Source organism: Homo sapiens, chromosome 10, assembly GCF_000001405.40.
Source record: "Homo sapiens chromosome 10, GRCh38.p14 Primary Assembly".
Classification (NCBI taxonomy): Eukaryota; Metazoa; Chordata; class Mammalia; order Primates; family Hominidae; genus Homo; species Homo sapiens.
In genome coordinates, this window is record NC_000010.11 from 3,866,669 (window position 1) to 3,886,854 (window position 20,186).

The 20,186-nt window shown below is 42.5% G+C and overlaps 1 long non-coding RNA gene across 1 annotated transcript, besides 2 other annotated features; it reads right to left on the reverse strand.

Moving 5' to 3' along the window:
- Positions 3,035–3,534: an enhancer, noted in NCBI's record as "H3K27ac hESC enhancer chr10:3911895-3912394 (GRCh37/hg19 assembly coordinates)". NCBI's record gives its function as "activates a minimal SCP1, AML or CMV promoter by ChIP-STARR-seq in naive H9 embryonic stem cells {active_cell/tissue: H9 hESC(naive)}" and the evidence as "EXISTENCE:reporter gene assay evidence [ECO:0000049][PMID:30033119]".
- LOC124902541 (uncharacterized) lies at positions 7,460–8,660 on the reverse strand. The gene is made up of 2 exons (XR_007062365.1): positions 8,392–8,660; positions 7,460–7,775 (listed from the first exon to the last, which is right to left on the reverse strand). It is a non-coding gene; the product is annotated as an uncharacterized LOC124902541 (long non-coding RNA).
- Positions 8,542–8,871: an enhancer, noted in NCBI's record as "active region_2916". NCBI's record gives its function as "activates an Ori minimal core promoter by ATAC-STARR-seq in GM12878 lymphoblastoid cells {active_cell/tissue: GM12878}" and the evidence as "EXISTENCE:reporter gene assay evidence [ECO:0000049][PMID:35858748]".

Consider the following 20,186-nt stretch of genomic DNA (forward strand, 5'->3'; position numbering starts at 1 on the left):
AGCTAACTGCCACTTCACACTTGGTGATCACTGCATAGACATATCTGAAAGGTGGAAGCACTGCTGTAGTAGCCCTTAAATACAGTTATTTTATGGGTTTTGTTGTTTTTGTTTTTGAGACAGGGTCTCACTTTGTCTCCCAGGCTGGATTGCAGCTGTGTGATCTGGGCTCACTGCAGCCTCCACCTCCCCAGCTCAAGTGATCCTCCTGCCTTAGTCCCAAGCAGCTGGGATTACAGGCTCGTGCCGCCACACCTGGCTAATTTTTGTGTTTTTTACAGAGATATGGTTTTGCCATGTTGCCCAGGCTAGTTTTGAACTCCTGAGCTCAAGTGATCCACCCGCCTCAGCCTCCTAAAGTCCTAGGATTGCAGGCATGAGCTATCACGCCAGGCCGTTTTATGTTTTATTTTTGTAAAATATTCTTGTTGTAAATTGGTGACATAATTAGTCTTAGTCCATCTAAATGCTAAGTGTCAGTTTCAACTCTAATCTAAATGATGGTCTGCAGCAGAGGTTTCCAAATATTTTGAGGATACACACCTCATCAGTAAAAAGGTTTTGATCATGAACATATAAAGACATTAACATTTGCTGATGTGTAAGACCAGCCCCTTCCTGCTGGGTGGCTTCCATGAGCAATTAGACAGTGATAGGAACAAACAATATAGAGACAGGTAAGTCTTCTGTTATATTTTGAGCATTATAAAGGATACACAGAAACATACACGTAATAAATGAATCAGATAAAAATAAATGTGCATAGAAGCTCTAATGTTCTTTTACTTGTATTGCAATATATCATTCTGTACAGAACCTTGGGTGTGTGCACCTCACCTGTGGGACCCCTGAGCCCATCTGTGAGACCTGAGGTGCTGTCACAAGTGCTCAGGGAAGGAGTGAAGTTGTTTTTCCACTGTGATGACTCTGGCTACATGAGAACGTTTTCTTTATGACTGAAGTAGAGTCACATTGGATAGCAGTAACTTTGATATCTTCATCAGAATGAGTCATTTTAATGTGTATTGCCTTGTAATCATAAAAGTTGAAGTATTACTTTTTTTTTTTAACTAGAGCACAGTTACAAGTAGATGTTTGCCATCATCATAACAAGAGGAAGTCATGGATTTTATTTTAAGGCACATAAACTGAGATCATGGGCACATGATCAAGTATCAATCTTCTATGTTGGGAGAAGACAGGGCCTAAGGTTTATGCATTACATAACATGTGCCAGGCACAATTCTAGATGGTTTGGATATGTTAAAAGAAATCATGGCTCTAAATTCCGGTACACAATGTTTAGTAGATAATAAATGCTATTATGTTTCTGATTTCATCATCAAAATTATCCAGACAGCTAGGTATGACTACACTAGTCATCCAAAATCACCTGAAAATCAGAGAGCTTCAGTGACTTTGGGTGTGGTCACTTCTTAGTAAGAGGCAGAATAGACACTTCTGATTCCATCGCTCATGTTCAGGGTTTTAATTTTTTTTCTTTTTTTGCTCCTTTCACTGTATAATTGCTCATGTGAGATGTTCCAGAGTGAATAGGCTGCCCTTTGGATATTGTCACATATAAAGACAATAAGAGTAAATAGTTGCTTATTTGAAGACATCCATAGAATGGCTCATGTGTCTTGTTTTTTGCTTTTGTTTGTTTATTTGTTTGTAGACACAGAGTCTCACTGTCACCCAGGCTGGAATGCAGTGGTGCGATCATGATTCACTGCAGTCTTGAACACCTGGGCCCAAGCTATCATCTCGCCTCAGCCACTTGAGTAGCTGGGACTACAGGTGCACACACGCCACTGAGCCTAGCTAATTTTCAACTTTTTTTTTTTTTTTTTCAGACAGAGTCTAAATCTGTCGTCCAGGCTGGAGTGCAAAGGCACACTCAGCTCAGTGCAACATCCGCCTACTCGTTTCAAATGATTATCTTTCCTCAGCCTCCTGAGTAGCTGGGATTACAGGCACCCACCATCACACCTGGCTAATTTTTGTATTTTTAGTAGAGATGGGGTTTCACCGTGTTGGCCAGGCTGCTCTTGAACTCCTGACCTCAAATGATTCGGCCCACCTTGGCCTCCAAAAGTGCTGGGATTACAGGTGTGAGACACCACGCCTGGTCAATTTTAAACTTTTTTGTAGAGACAGGGTCTTGCTCTGTTGCCCAGGCTGGTCTCAAACTTCTGGCTTCAAGGGATCCCTCCACCTTAGCCTCCCATTCTGCCACATTCTATTTCTGTAGAAGCAAGTTACAAAGTCCAGCTGACACGCAGAGGAGCAGAATTGAACCTCACCTTTTCAAAGAAGGATTGTCAAAGGATTTGTAGATATATTTTCAAGACACCACACAATGCATTTGATGAGATTCTGATTATAGACCCTTTGGCATATTTTATGTGGACTGTAAGGAACTGGGAAGGATCTAATATTTTACCCTATTTGTAAGGTTTCAAGTTAGCCTGTCCTAGTTTTGTGAATGCTGACAGAAGATATGAGTACTCTGGGTCAAAGACCAAAAGGACTTTATGACTCAAGCAATAGCAGTAGGCAGAGTATCAGCAATTTTGGTTCTCCTACTCCCCACCCCCAGAGGGTGACTGAAGGAGGGTCAGGTGACATTTGCACATGCAGTGGATTGCATTTCAGGAGGTGAACCTAAACTTGGAGGATGGGAAGCTGCCTTTCACAAGAAGCAGTAGGCATACCTGCCCTTTGCTTTGAAGGACACACAGTCTCTGTCTTCCAAAGCTGTTCACTATTTAACTATCTTTCACAAGATACTCCAGGACAAAGACTCTCACGGCCTCTACTCAGAAGATGTGCAGACATGTGAGGGTCATGGAGAATTCTCTTCCGAGTTTATGATAAAGGTGGTTGCATTAGTCAGGGTTCCCAGAGAAACAAACCAATAGGAGATAGATAGGTGGATATTTTAAGGAATTTGCTCATGGGACAGTGGAGGCTTGGTGAGTCCAAAATCTGATGGGGGTGGTAAGCAGTCTGGAGACTCAGGAAAAAGCTGCAGTTTGAGTCTGAAGACAGTTTCGTGCAGAGCCAGAAAGGGCTGATGTTGCAGATGAAGTCTGAAGGCTGTTTGCTGCTGAATTCTCTCTCGCTTGCAGGGAGGTCAGCTTTTTGTGCTCTTCAGGCCTTCGGCAGATCGGATGGGGCTCACCCATATCAGGGAAATCTCACCCAAAAATATCCTCACAGAAATATCCAGAATAAAGATTGACCACATATCTGGGCACCATGGCCCAACCAAGCTGACACATAAAATTAACCGTCACACTAGTGGTATGATTGCTTTATTTAGTTGCAAGAGTTGAAAATAAAAAAAAAAATTAAAAAGGCATTTGGCTGAGGGGCACGGAAGGGCAGCCTATATTTATTGTGAAGTAATGTGTTCAACTGTGAGGGTTCATGTCTGAAGATAGTTCTAAATAAAAAAAGATGATTTTTCTTAATTCCCATTGCCCCATTTCAGATTCCCATTTGATAATTTAAACAAATGCATACTAGCAGCCAGATGCGGTGGCTCGTGCCTGTAATCCCAGCACTTTGGGAAGCTGAGGCAGGTGGATCATCTGAGATCAGGAGTTTGAAAGCAGCCTGGCCAACACGGTAAAACCCCATCTCTAGTAAAAATACAAAAATTAGCCAGGCATAATGGCAGGCACCTGTGATCCCAGCTACTTGGAAGGCTGAGACAGGAGAATCACTTGAACCTGGGAGACGGAGTTTGCGGTGAGCTGAGATTGCACCACTGCACTCCGGCCTGGGTGACAGAGTGAGACTCCATCTCAAAAAAAAAAGAAAACAAAAATGCATACTGGCATGGTCCACCCTAGTCAAACAGATTCAAAGAACTACAGACTTGGAGGAGACCCCAGAGATAATATAATTCATCAACATCATGCTACAACTTTCTGAATATCATGCAAATAGTTACCTGTAGAGCTGGGACTTAAAACCCAGGGCTCATACTCTACTCTGTCCAAGAGCATTAGAACTGTGGCTCACGGAACCCTGGGTTCAACAGAGGTTCCTTGGGAGCCTCCAGGAGGATGGGCATGGGCAGGGCCCCAAATTGGTATTCACTAGAGGGGCTTCATTTCAGTGTGAATTTTATATTGGAATACTGTGTAAGGTCCCATTTGAAAAGGGCTTATTTTGCCAAAGCAAGCTTGCAAATGACTCTCGTTTGCGATGGATATTTTTGTTGCTAGTGTTGGAAGTTAATACGTTCAAATTACATTTGAGAACCGAAGTTCAAAAAATAACCTTCCTTTAGAATTTTTTTGAATTTTAATAATTTGATCCAATTTGAGTTTATAAACTCAAGGAAAATATTAACTCATCAATTTAGTAGTGTGTAAATTATTCTATTCCATATTTATTTTATTCTTAAAAATCATGACCATAAATTTAATAGGATAATTCAAACTTTTTTTTAGTAAAAAGCAGTATATATTCATGAAGGAATATTTGAAAATACAGAATAACAGAAAAAAATGTAAAATATACCTACTACCTAAACATACCTTTATCAGTATTTTTATGTATCACCTTTCAGCATTTTTTTTCTAGGCAGATGTCTCTTTCTCTACGTAGTTGTCAATAAACTGTGTACTTATGCACAATTTCATGTGACCATTTGTGCTTATCATATACTCAAGGCCTTCTCTATGTCATGGAACGACCTTGGAAATATAATATTGAATGACTATGTAAGCTTCCACAAAGTGGTTATACCAGTTTTTAACTAACAACCTCTTTTCTGTTTTTGATTTTATTTTACTGCTAAAAATTCAAGCTGGAATAGTACTGCTGGGAACCAAGTTGTTTCCCCAACGCCTGCCAAAGTCCTCTATTGAATCCCTAACCCCTGGTGCTGTTGTATTTGGGGTAAGAAAGTAATTAAGGTAGAATGAGGTCATAATGGCAGGGCCCTGATGCAATAGGATTAGTGTTCTTATAAGAAGAGACTCCAGAGAGTGAACTTCCCTCCGCTCCTCTCTCTCTCTCTGTCTCCCACCAAACCCACCTGTCATACAGCAGCAAGAAGGCTGCGTCTACCAGCCAGGAAGAGAACCCTTGCCAGAAAGTGAACGGTTGGCACCTTGAGCTTGGACTAGCCACCTCCAGACTGTACCATGGACTTTGCTATTGTTAGTGCAGAGCTACCAGCTCTGCATGTGACTATCTGAATGATGTACAGTCTGTAGTATTTGCCATGGTAGTCCGAGCCACCTAAGACAATCTCACTGTGCATAAAGATCTTCTCCTTCGTCCCCCATTCCTCTCTCTCCTCTGATCACACGTGTGCTTCCTTGTCCCCACAGGCTTCACTTAAAAACCCAAGTTCCATGAGAAAATAATTTGGGAATTCAATACGGAGATGGCAAAGCATAAAGTCCAGCATGGGGACCCCTGAGCGTGGGCTCCTGCGACCTCAGAGGCCACTCCCCTGGGAAGCCACCCCGGTTCTGGACGGCTTCTGGGTTCCTTTCTGAGCCGAGCACCGTAGCCTTGCTCAGCCTTGGCGCCTGCCAACAAGTGCTCTGAGCAACTGATAGATGTTCAATAAATGTCCCCTGCGGTTAAATGTGCCTTGATATGTCATTGAGAGACCCTTAGCTCTACGTTGAAGGGAGTCCAAAAGTCCTCTGGTTAGGAATGCTTTCTTAGTGGTTCTTTTATCATTGACTATTTATTGAAAAGTAACCAGAGAATTGCAGAAATAGAAAGCTGAAAGGGATTTCCTCCCCAGAAGTTTTCAAGGTTGTTCTTGACTGTTGTAAACAAGGAAGCCAATACTTTAAAGAAGGCATTTGAAGAAGTTTAGGTGAGGTGAGCAGAGCTGTTCTCATGAGGGAAAGAGGCAGCCTCTCTGGAGCCACTCCCCAGAGGTCCCCCACGCCTGAAAAGGAATTTGAAGACTAAGGATCTAGTCTAAACTCCTCATTCGAAATGCTTATTTATTACCCTCTTAGGGGATCTTAAAAAATGACAGAATTCCAAATTTAAACAGAAAAAAGCACTATTCTAGAGTTTTTAAAACGCCAGGATACATAGTCCTATACTAACATGAAATATTTACTTACCAAAATCTTTTAAGAATCTGGGAACCAACAGTTTAGGAGAAGCATGGCTCTCGGCTCGGCTACAAAAGGACTGCTCTGTCCATCTCTGTGTGACTTGATTGATGGCCGGAGACATGAGAGAGGAGGAGGAGGGGGTGGCTCTGGAGAGCGCAGGTGAGGTCGGCCTTGCGCCTCTCTCCTGTGCTGCGGGCCCCAATCTGCATCCCTCCCTTCCTCTGAGTTGCTTTACTTGGTGTACAACCGTCACCTTTTCTTGCCTTTTCAAATGAGATGAGATCAGTTTCCACATAACTGAGCCAGCTCATGTAATTATTGCCAGGCACTTGACATTATATTGCATTCTGTTGTCTTTTTGTGTGTTCGTTTGTTTTATCATATTCGATTCCTTTAATAGCTTCATCCCTTCATCCCACACATGGCTCTCTCCTAGGTGCACAGCGGTCTCCTCAATATCAGGAGATGCAAAGGGAAGACATAGTTGTTTCCTTCCAGCAGGACACAATGAAGCCAGAAGATTGAAATTACAACTCAATAAATGTTTGTGTGTCTTTTAATAATGATTTCAAAGGGTTGCAATGTTGAAAACAACAAAACAAACAAACAAACAAAAACAACTAACCTCCTTTTAATAGCCCATTTAAAATTGTTTGGTAAATATTATGGATGGATCTTTTAAAAAAATTACTTTATAACTTCAAAACATAAGTGAGTTAAACATATGCTTTCTGAAATTTTTTTCATGTTAACATTTTTAGAAAAGGTAAGTTGGCCTTTAAAATGCTATCATAGTGAAGTTGCGTCATTTGAAACAATGTTCAATAAATGTTTTTGTTAATTATAAATAGGTTATGATTTGGACAGTTAAGAAGAAGACAGAAACTAACAGAAGATAGTAGAAGACACAATGGAGATTTTGAAAACTTAGCTTAAAAGTTTTATCATGAGATTAATAAAATATGTCACAATGCTTTTTTTCTTACAAGAAAATATACAATTTTTCTCCCCGCAGGTCCTCATTCTTTATTCTTTTTCTTAGAATTCATATGCTAAGTTTACTAGGTTCCTCTTTTCAGTATCTTTATTTACAACACTGTCACTGTTTCCATAGATACACTGAAGGTCGGTTTCCATAGCAACACTCTTGGTCTCCTAAACAAATAGTATCATAGTGTGAATCTTGTTTCAGTGTTATTGCACCATGTTATTAGATACAGAATTCAAAAAAATAACTTAAGCAGGGTTTGAAACAAGGTGGGTTGGTTTTATTGCTTGGTGCTTTAGATATTACATTTCAATTTCATATTAAATATATATCCATCTGAAAAATAGCGAGGCTTTTGCATAGTAAACATGATACCAATTTTATTCACAAGTTATAAAACACTGTAATTTAATAAGAGGATATTCCAATACATGAGACAGACGCAGGCAGAGGCTCACTGTCTTCAGATTCAAATGACTACTTTTCCGTTGGCTGGATGATTTAGCCTCCCCAAACCTCCACAGTCGTTTATAACCTACCCACGGTGATCATTACCTTTGCCATTTTTGCATTTTAAGTCATTTCTACCAGTCTTGTCTTTTATTTCATAGCCCCAAAGGAACAGCTCTGAAATAGATTTCAAGGAATCTTTACTACTTCCTATTTTGCTCCAACTGAAACAAAAGAGAAAAGTAACTTTATTAGATTTTTGTTTTTTGCCTTTAAATTTGTTTATCATTATCTTTATTTTTATTTTATTTTATTTTTTGAGACAGAGTTTCCTTCTTGTTGCCCAGGCTGGAGTGCAGTGGCATGATCTTGGCTCACTGTAACCTCTGCTTCCTGGGTTCAAGTGATGCTCCTGCCTCAGTCTCAGAGTAGCTGGGATTACAGGCATGCACCACCACGCTGGCTAATTTTTTTTTTTTGCTTTTGAGACAGAGTTTCACTCTTGTTGCCCAGGCTAGAGTGCAATGGCACGATGTTGGCTCACTGCAACCTCCACCTTCCTGGTTCAAGTGATTCTCCTGACTCACCCTCCAGAATATCTGGGATAACAGGCATGCACTGCCATGCCCGGCTAATTTCTGTATTTTTAGTAGAGACAGGGTTTCTCTATGTTGGTGAGGCTGGTCTTGAACTCCTGACCTCAAGTAATCCTCCTGCCTTGGCATCCCAAAGTGCTGGGATTGCAAGCATGAGACACCGCACCTGGCCCATCATTAACTTTAATTTCTTCTCTGAGAAGCAAATCTTGTGGACTCCTTTAGAAACGGAACTGAGCCTTACCTCCAGCTCACAACCCACGTCCGGTAAAATAGTTTTGTGTAATTGATTAAATTTGACTCCTAGGGGTGAGTTTTCAGCTCACATAGGGAAAGGAGGGAAGCAGTGCCCATCACAGCGGAAATGTGGACACTGCTTTTATTTGAGGGAAGGAAGGGGAGCTGTCTGCACAATCCCATGACATTGTGGTTTTCTGCCAGATGCTTGGAGACAATGTACTCCAGTGCGCACACCTGCTTCTTTACACTCTGACCCATTTAACAAGCTATGTCAGAAGCCTGCTTTTTCACTTTCCTTTTGAGTATGTCCTCCTTTAAGGACATATTTATTAATAAATGGGGTTTCCCTCCTAAATTTGGCACTAAAAGGGATTGGTATGCAAATACAACATAGTACTTGGCAAATGTAAAAAAAAAAATTGTACTGCTTTGGGGGAAGGGTCAACAATGAACTAAAGGTGGTGACAAATGTAAACTCAGGATGCCTTAGAGTGTGGGTGTTAGGCAGTCAGACAGGTAAGTGTGAACCCCAGCTCAGACATTTAGTAGCTGTGTGAATTGGGGCCCTGACTAGACTCCCCTGAGCCTTGGTTTCCTCATCTGTAACATAAGGAAAATACCACCTACTGTGCCGAGTTGTTGAAAAATCTGAGATGTTAGAAGTCACCTGCATTTTGAAACTTGAAGTGATGCATTTTTTCATCATTTCTGATTTGTCCCATGCCTACAGGAAGAGAGTGTGCCACCTTTGATCACAGAGTACTTTCATTTTGCTGTATCTGTGGTTACATTTTATTGATGTGCATGGCCATTGTTACATTTTACTGATTTTCCTTCCTTATCAATTGGATCTCGAGGTTCAGAAAGTGCCAGATTCCTCTGTATCTGCACGAAGATGCATCTATGGAAGTGCATCTCCCCTGTCATGGAGATCCTCCAGCTCCTCCAGCTCCTCCAGCTCCTCCAGCTCCTCCAGCTTCTGCCCATCACCTTTCCATCTCCTGACCTGACTCCTGGCTGAGGTAGTGTTTTCCAATCAAGACAAAAGCTCCTGAGAGCTTCCATCAGTGTGGTTCCCGGAATAGTCAGCTGACTTGTAAATGGAAAGCCCTAGAGAAAAACAAGTCCTTCTCTGATCTCAATCTTAGCAGTATCACCTAAGCCAGTGTTTCCAACCTTTCATGCACACAGTGATCACCCATGGGCCTTGTTGAAAGGCAGATTTTGGCTCAGCAGGCCTGGGTGGGAGTTGAGCCTCTGCCTGGCTGATGAGCTCTCAGGGGATGACCAAGTACCTGGTCTAGGAGCCTCACCTCCAACGGGAAACTCTCCAAAACACAGATTTTTATCAAATTTGTTCAAGCCCTAATTAGAGGCCACCACCCAAAACAATGGGTCCCCAGATGACTTTAGCCTGGGCATATTTGGGGTTTTTCTTCTAGTATAAGATTCAGGCTATCCAGCCTTTTTTTTTTTTTTTTTTTTTTTGAGATAGAGTCTCACTCTGTCTCCCACGCTGGAGTGCAGTGATGTCATCTCGGCTCACTGCAACCTCTGCCTCCTGGATTCAGGCGATTCTCCTGCCTCAGCCTCCAAGTAGCTGGGATTACAGGCACCCACCACTGCGGCTGGCTAATTATTGTATTTTCAGTGGAGACAGGGTTTCACTATGTGGGCCAGGCTGGTCTCAAACTCCTGACCTTAGGTGATCCTCTCATCTCAGTCTCCCAAAGTCTGGGATTACAGATGTGAGCCACCCTGCCAGGTCGGTCCAGTCTTAGTTGAATTTGGCTTCCTTGTACGATAAAGAGACTGGGCTGACTGGAATCTCTCGGGTCCTTTTCAATAAGCAAATGCAGCATACTTTCTTCTTACAGAGGTGGGACAGATCAGGGAAGATGCAAAATTCATCTGTTCACATTGTCATTACCAAATTCCTTTCAGCTTACCGAAATCTTCTCTGAGCCTTAGGATCAATATGATTCATATTGTTGGGAAAAATACATAATGGAATTATAGCTGATTGTCAGAGACAGGTTAATGCTCTAATCAGAAAGTCAGTGACTGACCTGTGAATGAGTTTAGAAGCTGCCTGTACCATATTAATTCCCAAAATTTACAATGTAATTAAGGCTTCAGAATTCTCTAAGAGAGTGTGGTCTCATTTCCTTTTGTTATGTTATTGTGTAACAAATGCAGTTGTTTTCTTAAACAAAATTGCCTTCTGCTTTTCTGTTCTCCCTTACTTTAGAAGCTTGATGGCACTTTACTACTTGTTATGTTATAACAGCAGTGTTCCCTGTGTGGAAGTCTTCCAAAGGCAATTCACTCTTCTGAGATTATGTTTTGGAGGAAGAATATATTTGAAAGCTCTAAAAAAAAATTTAGGGTTTTCCAGGGGATTTTGTTCCATGGGTTTTCCTTGCATATTATCTCATTGTTAAAAGGATTGTATAATATTCTAAGAATCAAGAGGTTGTAGTTTCACATAAATAGACGCAATCAAATAATTACTTTTGCTTTTATTTTTATGCTGAATAATTTCACTCAATGGCATCAACTTCAGAATGAATCATAATGAGTCTACTTGACCTTGTTAAAACTGACAATAAAATGGTGACCAAGTCCTTTTCCTTTGAAAAAGGAAGCGGCCAGCTTTCTAATGCTGGCTTGGTGGCCATGGAAGATGCCCTCAACGGTCAAAGAAAAACTCATATGAAAGCACCAAAAATGTGGATGAAAGCAATGCCATCCTCACGTGCTAAGGAGTGTGTGAATGCATGAAAATAAGGTGCTTAGAACAATACCTAACACATACCAGGTGTTCAGTAAATACTGGGTACTATCATTCCTGACACTTTTGTCTGCATGCTTACAACAAGCCAGCCTGCAGTTGCTTAATCTCTGCAGGCTCTATGCATGTGTGAAGATATATACCTATATTTACACATGCAAATATATATAAAATACCCATGTATAATTTTTAGGGGAACCCTTTTACAGATGATAGTTTCCGGTAGTTGTGAAAAAATCTGGCAAAGCACCATAAAAATAAATAATGCAAGCATTCTTTGAATTACTTAAAACTGAATGTCCAATTCAAACAGATTATAATTTTCAATGTTTTCTGTTGATAGAGTATCATATAGAGAGTTGGGATTTAGAAATAAACTGTCTTCCACTGGGCGTGGTGGCTCATACCTGTAATCCCAGCACTTCGGGAGGCCGAGGTGGGCAGATCTCTTGAGGTCAGGAGTTTGAGACCAGCCTGGCCAACATGATGAAACCCCGTCTCTACTAAAAATATAAAAATTAGCCAGGCGTGGTGGCATGCACCTGTAATCCCAGCTACTTGGGAGGCTGAGGCAGGAGAATCCTTTGAACCCGGGAGGCGGACGTGACAGTGAACTGGGATCGTTTCCACTGCACTACAACCTGGGTGACAGAGTGAAACTCCATCTCAAAAAGAAAAAAAAAAAAAAGAAAGATAGAAAGAAAAACAGAACAAGCAAAAAAAACAAAAACAAACCAACAAAAAACAGAAATAAACTGTCTTCCAAATAAAAGTACGGGAAATCTTAGTGGAGAAAGTAACGTATTAGTGCCTATGACACACACAAGTGAATGTACAGGTGACCCTTGAACAAGGCCAGTTTGAACTGCATGGGTCCCCCTTTTACAGGGATTTTTTCCAGCAAATCGCAGATCCAAAATATAGCATTGGAGGGAGGCAAAATTCACATATATCAACAGCTGACTTTTTGTACATGCCTGCAGATTTAGGTATACCTGGGATTCCTGACCGATCCACCTCCTTTACCCAGGATGACTGTATATATTTCTTTGAGAAATGTGTGTATATTTTTCTCTGAGTCATATTGATTAAAAATTAATATTAGTCAGTACTATCATTCTTAAAGTACTAAAATTAATATAAAACTAATATAGTGTTTTCATAAAGTAAAGAAAAAGGGAACCCTAGTAAAGAGTTGGTTCAGTGAGGCCAGTCTACGTTTCACATCACCCAAGCCTAACATTCATTTGGATGGATACTTCTCACTTGTTGGGATTATTAAGCCATTGGTTTGTGTTTGTTCCGTGTAAACACTAAGGGAAAGGGAAAAGGAGACTCTCCGCTGTTTTGTGGGTGTTTGGCTAGGGTTTAGTTATGCAAGGTGAAGTTTGGAGTTATTTCCCTGTATGAAAACTCTTCATGATAGACACCAGGTGTGCTGGAGACTCACAGCAACAGAAGAAAGCCCAGGCTGACTCCGGAGAAAACGGCTGACCAGGAGCATCCCAGGATCATGACGGAGTCGGCTGACTCCCCGGTCAGACTCTCTGCTTTCTAATCCTGAATCAACCCTTTATAAGCTGTTTGACCTTGAGAAATTCCCCTAACTTCTTCGTACCACAGGCTATTTACTCATCTCTGTAATAGAGGTAGCATATTTCCTATTCAAAAAGGCTACTGTTAAACATAGTAATACACTTGGAGTGGCAACCTTAGGACTCAGTAGATGTTAGTGACTATTAGGAAATAAATAATATTTCCCAGAAGTGCCATAAGATCATTCATACGTCTTATAGTTTGATGAGTTGCTTTGCATTTTGCCAAGGTGGACTACTGTTTGATTCTGTAATCCTGGCAAGCATTTAGCCAGCAGAAAGCTAAGTCATATTAAGATCTCAACTTCCAGAGAGAGCTTAGGACTCAGAGTCAGGAACTCTCAGTTCAGAAAGGGCTGCAAAGCTCCGGAATTTGAAGAAAATGTCCAGATGGTGTGAATATTTAGTTATTAATCTTGGAATTTCACTATGCAAACAGAATTAATGTAGTAACCATTTAACCACTTGTGTTTCTGCTGTAATAAAACATCACAGTCTAGGCAGCTGAAATAGCAGGCATTGATTTCTCCCAATTCTGGAGGCAGGAGGTACCTGCTGATTTGGTTTCCAGAGAGGGCTCTTCTTCTGGCTTGCAGAGAGCTGCCTCCTCACGGTGTCCTCACATAGTGGAGAGAAAGCAAGCTCTCTCCTGGCTCTTCTTACAAGGACATTGATTCTGTTGGATCAGGGTCCCACCCTTACAACCAAATTTAGCCTTAATTACTTCTATAAAGACTCTATCTCCAAATACAGCCACACTGGGGTCAGGACTTCCACAGATGAATTTGAGGATGGGAACATGAACATTCCGTCCATAGCACCAATCGTCAGGTGCATTTATTTCATCCACGTTCTATAACTCTGGAATGAGGCTGATAGCATCTCTCTCTCTCCAGTTTGTTTCCTTGAGCCTCATCCTCCAACCGCCCTTGTTCCTGTGGAGAGCTCCTTCCAGACTGGGGTCCCCTGCTTTATGGCAGGGGCAAGGGGTATGGATATATTCCAAATGACTTCTGTCTGTTCTTTTTTCTGATAACTCCTAAGGTCAAACATCTATACAGTCTTTCTATCATTTGTTATTAACCACACTTAGCATCGGTAATTCCTTGCAACATTGATTTTGGTGAGGTTCTACGATCTTTATTTTCCTTTCTATTTTTTCTCGGTTTTAGATATTCCGCTTATTCTTTTTCTCCTGCAGATGAAACCACTCAAGGGGTTTCTTCCTGCCTGGTGCATGAAGAAAGATCATGGCATTGTAGTAAAGAAAAAAGTTTAATAGACATGAGGACAGCCATACCATGTGGGAGATGGAATTTGTACTCAAATCACCTCCTCCAAAGCTCATAGGATAGGGGTTTTCTTTTTTCTTTTTCTGTTTTTTTTTTTTGTTGTTGTTGTTCTTTTTTTTTCTTTTTTTTTCTTTTTTTTTTTTTTTTCTGAAAAAGTCTCACTCTGTCACCCAGGCTGGAGTGTAATCGCATGATCTTGGCTCATTGCAACTTCCACCTCCTGGGTTCAAGTTATTCTCGTGCTTCAGCCTTCTGAGTAGCTGGGATTACAGGCATGTGCTACAACACTGGGCTTTTTTTGTATTTTTTAGTAGAGATACGGTTTCACCATGTTGTCCAGGCTGGTTTCAAACTCCCAACCTCAGGTGATCGACCTGCCTCGGCCTCCCAAAGTGCTGGGATTACAGGCATGAGCCACTGTGCCTGGCTGGTTAGGGGTTTTTCAAAGACAGTTTGAGAAAGGGGTGGGAGTGTTCAGGTAACAGGTGCTTGCTGCTGATTGATTGGAGCAGAGATGAAATCACAGGGTGTTGAAGCTGTCCTCCCGCAGGCTGAATTGCTTCTGGGCGGGGCCACGGGAGCGGGGCTGGCAGGTCCAGGTGGAACCATGAGTGTCAGACATGCAAAAAACCTGAAAAATCTCAAAAGACCCATCTACAAGAGTGGTGTTATTTTCAGGAGATATTGCGGAAGTTGCATATCTTATAAATAATGGCCGAAAATCCTTCATGTCTGCACCTTAGCAGGACTTGGCTCCTCTATTCTCCCTAGACTGACAGCCTCCCATTAGCTTTATAAAAGCCATCGAGTTTTGGATAAGGCCTATTATTATTTATACTGTAGCCTAAATGTCTTCCAAAGTCAGCTCGGCTCAATAGCCCAGGAATAATTAAGGGAAAGGCAAGAGGGGTAGGGGTAGTTAGCTCCCCTTACTGTTATAATTTTTCTTACTGATATAATTTTTGCAAAGGTGATTTCTGAGATGAAACTATTGACTGAGTAGCAACTCATGTTTAGCGTTAGCATTTGTCGAGCAGGTATGACAGCATTCCACGTGCAGTCTCCTTGAGGTTGTTTGACAGGGAGAAGTAACAACTCTTGGGAGCACCATTCAGGCATAGTTTAGATGCCATAGGAGGTGTACTCAGGAAGCCAGATGTGAGACAGACATGGGTAAAGAGCAGGAGCAACACCCATTGGGGGTGAGTGAAGCAAGACTGGGAGGAGGGAAGAACTAGACCATGGAACACCTGCTGAAGAGGACCCAGTTGATCTCACAGAGAGCTCAGAAATGGGGATGGTGCTTCAGAGCTGCTCCCAGACAAGCCAAGACAAGAACTCTGCACCCCTGAAGGGACCTGTCACTGGATGTTGGCTGCTCCCAAGGAGCAGGGTGTAGCCTTGAGCCCACCAGCTCTCGTCAATTGAAGGCAAATGCTGTAAGGACCCAGATGTAAGTGAACACCAGACAACACTTCCCACACGGGGGAAACAGGCTGTATCAGTCCATTTTCATACTGCTATGAAGAAATATTTGAGACTGAGTCATTTATAAAGAAAAAGAGGTTTAGAGGACTCACATTCCACATGGTTGGACAGGCCTCACAATCATGGCGGAAGGTGAAGGAGGAGCAAAAGCACATCTTACATGGTGGCAGGCAAGAGAGCATGTGCAGGGGACTGCTCTTTATGAAACCATCAGATCTTGTGAGACTTATTCACTATCATGAGAACAGCACAGGAAAGCCCCACTCCCAGGATTCAATTACCTCCCACTGGGTCCCTCCCATGACACGTGGGGATTATGGGAGCTACAAGTCAAGATGAGATTTGGGTGGGGACATGGCCAAACCATATCAAAAACCTTGGTTCCAAAGTGGAGACCCATGTAGGGCTCCCCAGGGTCCACACCTGTGGTAAAAATTGGAAAACTGCACTTGAATTTGATTGAACATTTATGAAAATGCTGCTGTAGATTTTAGTGGTCAATTATGCCCCATTAGTCAATGCACTTTGGTAAGCTCTTGGTCAAGAAAAATTATGAGGAAAGGTCTTATGGATGAAGCCTGATACCAACTTCTCAAGCAATGGCTTCTCTGGTCCATAATCACTATTTTTAAGACAAGTCTGAAGGATCCTACGAGGAGACAGAAACCACTTCAGTTATTGGAGCAGAGAGCATTCAATACAAGAAGCGTGAACTATCAGTATAATTGTTAACTGAAAGAGAAAAAGAGAGCCCTGAGGTGCTGTGCAGGTAGCAATCACAAGAAACAGCTGTCACCCTCAGGGCAGCAGGACAAAGGGAAGTGGTGGAAATTATTGATGCTTAGCCACATAGAGAAGGGACCCTACAGGTCTGAAGTGGAGGTGCTCCCTGGTGCGGTCAGTATCTCTGAGCTCAGAGCAGGGGCTCTGGGAGGAGGTCCCTGTGACTGCAGCTGGGGTCATGGGAACGGGTGTGTAATAAAGGTGGTTTTGGAAGGATAAGCTCCATACTGGAGCCAGCTCCTGCCCAGAGGAAGCAGTGTGACCAGTGTGATGGCCACAGAAGCAGAGGCCAAGAAGCCCCAGGAAGCAAACATGAAGGACCCAGAGCCCTTCTTCCTCCTCCAGCTTGTGGGCCCATCTGGTGCCCTGTACTGCAGGCAGCTTGCAGGTCCCAGCTTTGGCATCCTAGATCCCAAGGTGGAAGGGAGGTCGTGGAGCTGACAGCAAGCTAACAGAATCCCCAAACACACGGATGTGTTTTCCTTTGATTGAATCATAAGGGCCAGTCTCTTTCACACTTCGAAACCTATGACTACATATCGACAAAATGACTGATGATATATGTGCTATATTAGCATTCCTTAATGGTTTTTGTTTGTTTGTTTTGTTTTGTTTTTGTTTTGAGATAGAGTTTTGCTCTTGTTGCCCAGGCTGGAGTGCAATGGCACAATCTCTGCTCACTGCAACCTCCACTTTCTGGGTTCAAGCGATTGTCCTGCCTCAGCCTCCCAAGTAGCTGGGATTACAGGCATGCACCACCATTCCTGGCTAATTTTTTGTATTCAGTAGAGATGGAGTTTCACCATGTTTGTCAGGCTGGTCTTGAATTCTTGACCTCAGGTGATCCACCCACCTCTACCTCCCAAAGTGCTGGGATTACAGGTATGAGCCACCACACCTGGCCATGTTAAATTAAACAAAGGGAATACTCCTTTCATATTAATTAGAGTTTAACCATGTCTTAATTCATGGGTGCAACTTTGGTCTATGGGCTAGAAAGGTTTATAAGGAGGTTAGCATTGATGATGTAAAAATGGTTGTAGATGAATTTTCCATCATTCATGGTAAACATTTGATTTTATAAGATGTTTGTCATGCAAAGACATTCCCAATATTCCTTAATACAAATTGCTGAAATTGTGAAATGTGGTAGTCATTTTCATGCAAATTAGATAAAGAAAACCAGAGACTATTGTTATGTGGGGAAATTTCAGATAAGTGGGGTTCAGGAAGGAGTAGAGGAGAAGAAACTGGGGGCAGGAGGACGCTGGCAGGGTCGTCATGTCCCAGGGCTGGGCGGCCTGGGGTGTAGAGCAAATTGAGGGAATGCTGGAGGCTCTGATTGATGAGCAGGGGTAATGCTGTTCAGGCAGCTGCTTGGAGCAGAAAACATGGGGTCCACTGTGCTCACCTGCAGGGAATGAGTAATAGAGAAATGGCAAAGGCAAATCATCCTTTACTGAAAACAACAACAAAACAAAGCAGAAAGAGAGTTCAAGGTGGTAACTGGAGGATACAGCAGAGCCAACAACTTCTTCCACCTCCAAAATAAAACGTCAGACCCAACCACATCTTCCACCTCCAAAATAAAACAGGATCCAGACTACAGGAAAAAAGGAGGAAGACGAAGTGAAACAGAAGAGGTTGAAGTCGTGGGAAAGGGGGCAAAATGGAAACAACCAAACAAACACTGTTTCTGTGTAGAAAAGCAGGGAGTGATGTGTAGGGAACAGGTGGAGGAATTACGTTTAAAGAAATGTGAAAAAAAAAAAAAGGAAACTTACAGTAGTAAGTGGATGTATAAAGGAAATCACAAGGAAACCAAAATCCTTTAATACTATCATCATTTAAAATCCGTCACATGGGCCAGTCACAGTGGCTCATGCCTGTAATCCCACACTTTGGAGGGTCGAGGCGGGTGGATCACTTGAGGTCAGGAGTTTGAGACCAGCCTGGCCAACATGGTGAAACCCCGACTCTACTAAAAAATACAAAAATTAGCCAGGCATGGTGCTGCGCACCTGTAATCCCAGCTACTTGGGAGGCTGAGGTGGGAGAATCACCTGGGAGGTGGTGGCTGCAGTGAGCCGCGATCACATCACTGTACTCCAGCTTGGGCAACAGAGCGAGCCTCTGTCTCAAAAAAATAAAAAATAAAATAAATCTATCACATGGATACGAGGTTTCCATGTCAAGTCTCTGGAGACTCCTAGACTTAGAAAAATGATATTGATCATTTCATCGAGAGAACCGAATGTAATTTGTGCAGCATTTTAAAAGAAAGATTTCTTACCATCTAGTTGCTTTCAAAGTTAGTGTGGCCTAATTTTATTATCTTTATCAAACTAACATTTGTTTACAATCTTTCTTAATTATTTGCCATTTAGCTTTTTAGGGCTTTGTTCCCCCCCATGCAGACACAGAGTGGCATTTGAGTGACGTTGACTTTTGTAGTTCTATTAAAGGAGGCTCCCAGGACTGCAGGCAGGTTCCAACTGCCTCACCAGCACTGCTGCTCCATTCCCTGGAAGGTCCTTGAGCTGGACCTGCCAGGCTGACGATCTATAGTCAGAAATAAGTCACTTTTATGGGATTCGAATGCAGCTTGAAGTAATCCTGACTCCAAAATTCTTCCTTCTTTGCTTGTCTGTGACCAGCATTATATGGATGAGAAACGGGACTCACTGGCAAGGAGACTGCGTAGTTGCTGGAGTTATACCTCCCTACTTCTCCTCACTTAACACACATCCACCTAGCAAAGCACTCTCCCTCAGATGCAAAGCCAAAGCGGCAGCAAGCCCCATTCCCTAGACACTCAAGAGCTGTTCTCTGTGCTGCAGCTGAAGCTGGCTTCAGACCCCTTGGGCGGGCTCCCAGGCAACCTACAGTGCAATGACAGCGTCCATCGCCCCCTCTCCTGCAGAAGGCCACGTTACCATCTTGACCATTTTTCGCATCATCAGTGCTAACCTCCTAACCAAACTTTCTAGCCCGTAGGCCAAAGCTGCACCCCTTAGTTAAAACACAGTTAAACTCCAACTAACCTAAAAAGAGTATTCTATTTGTTTAACATCAGGGAGCACTAATATAGCAAATATATCAGGTAGCCATACACCCAAGGTCTGGGGGCTCCTGGGAGCTTCACCCCCGCTGCAACAAGAACAGAGCCCGATCTTTTCCATCACTTGTTTATTATTATTATTATTATTATTATTATTATTATTATTATTATTATTATTATTATTTTGTAAAGGGGGCTGTGGGCGCTCCACTCCAGCTGCGCGGGAAGAAGGAAGCAATGCTGACTTGACCTTCTGCAGCCGCGGAGGGGGAGATGGATGCTGTCCTGGTGCTGTAGGCTGCCTGGGAGCCCCGCCCCGCGGATCTGAAGAGCCCTCCTCCCCTCGGGAGCTGTTTAGGCAGCTTCGGGTAGAGATGGAGGCCTAATCGTTTTCATTATCTTCTGCATATCCACTCTTTATTTTCTGAAATGCTTACGAATTTTTTTCTTTCATATTTATCACCTTAGAATTTGGTAGCAGTATTTTGGAAAAATGTTAACGCCTGTCATTGTTCGGAAATTTCAAAGAACTTCTGACATTGCCTTTTTCTACTGATGACAGCAGTGCGGCCCCAAGCTGCCTGCCTTTGGGAGACAGAGGAGCCACACTTGTACATGCTTTGAAAGTGAGAAACTTACAGAAACCTAGAAAAAGGATTTTGGACCTCAGGATCTGAATGGTTCTTGGAGTTCTTTGCAGATGAGGTAATGTTTTGGTTAACTCATAGGTCAGACCTGCTGTCCTTAGCTAACTTGCCCGGGAGGTTTTTAACGGAAGGCCTGTGT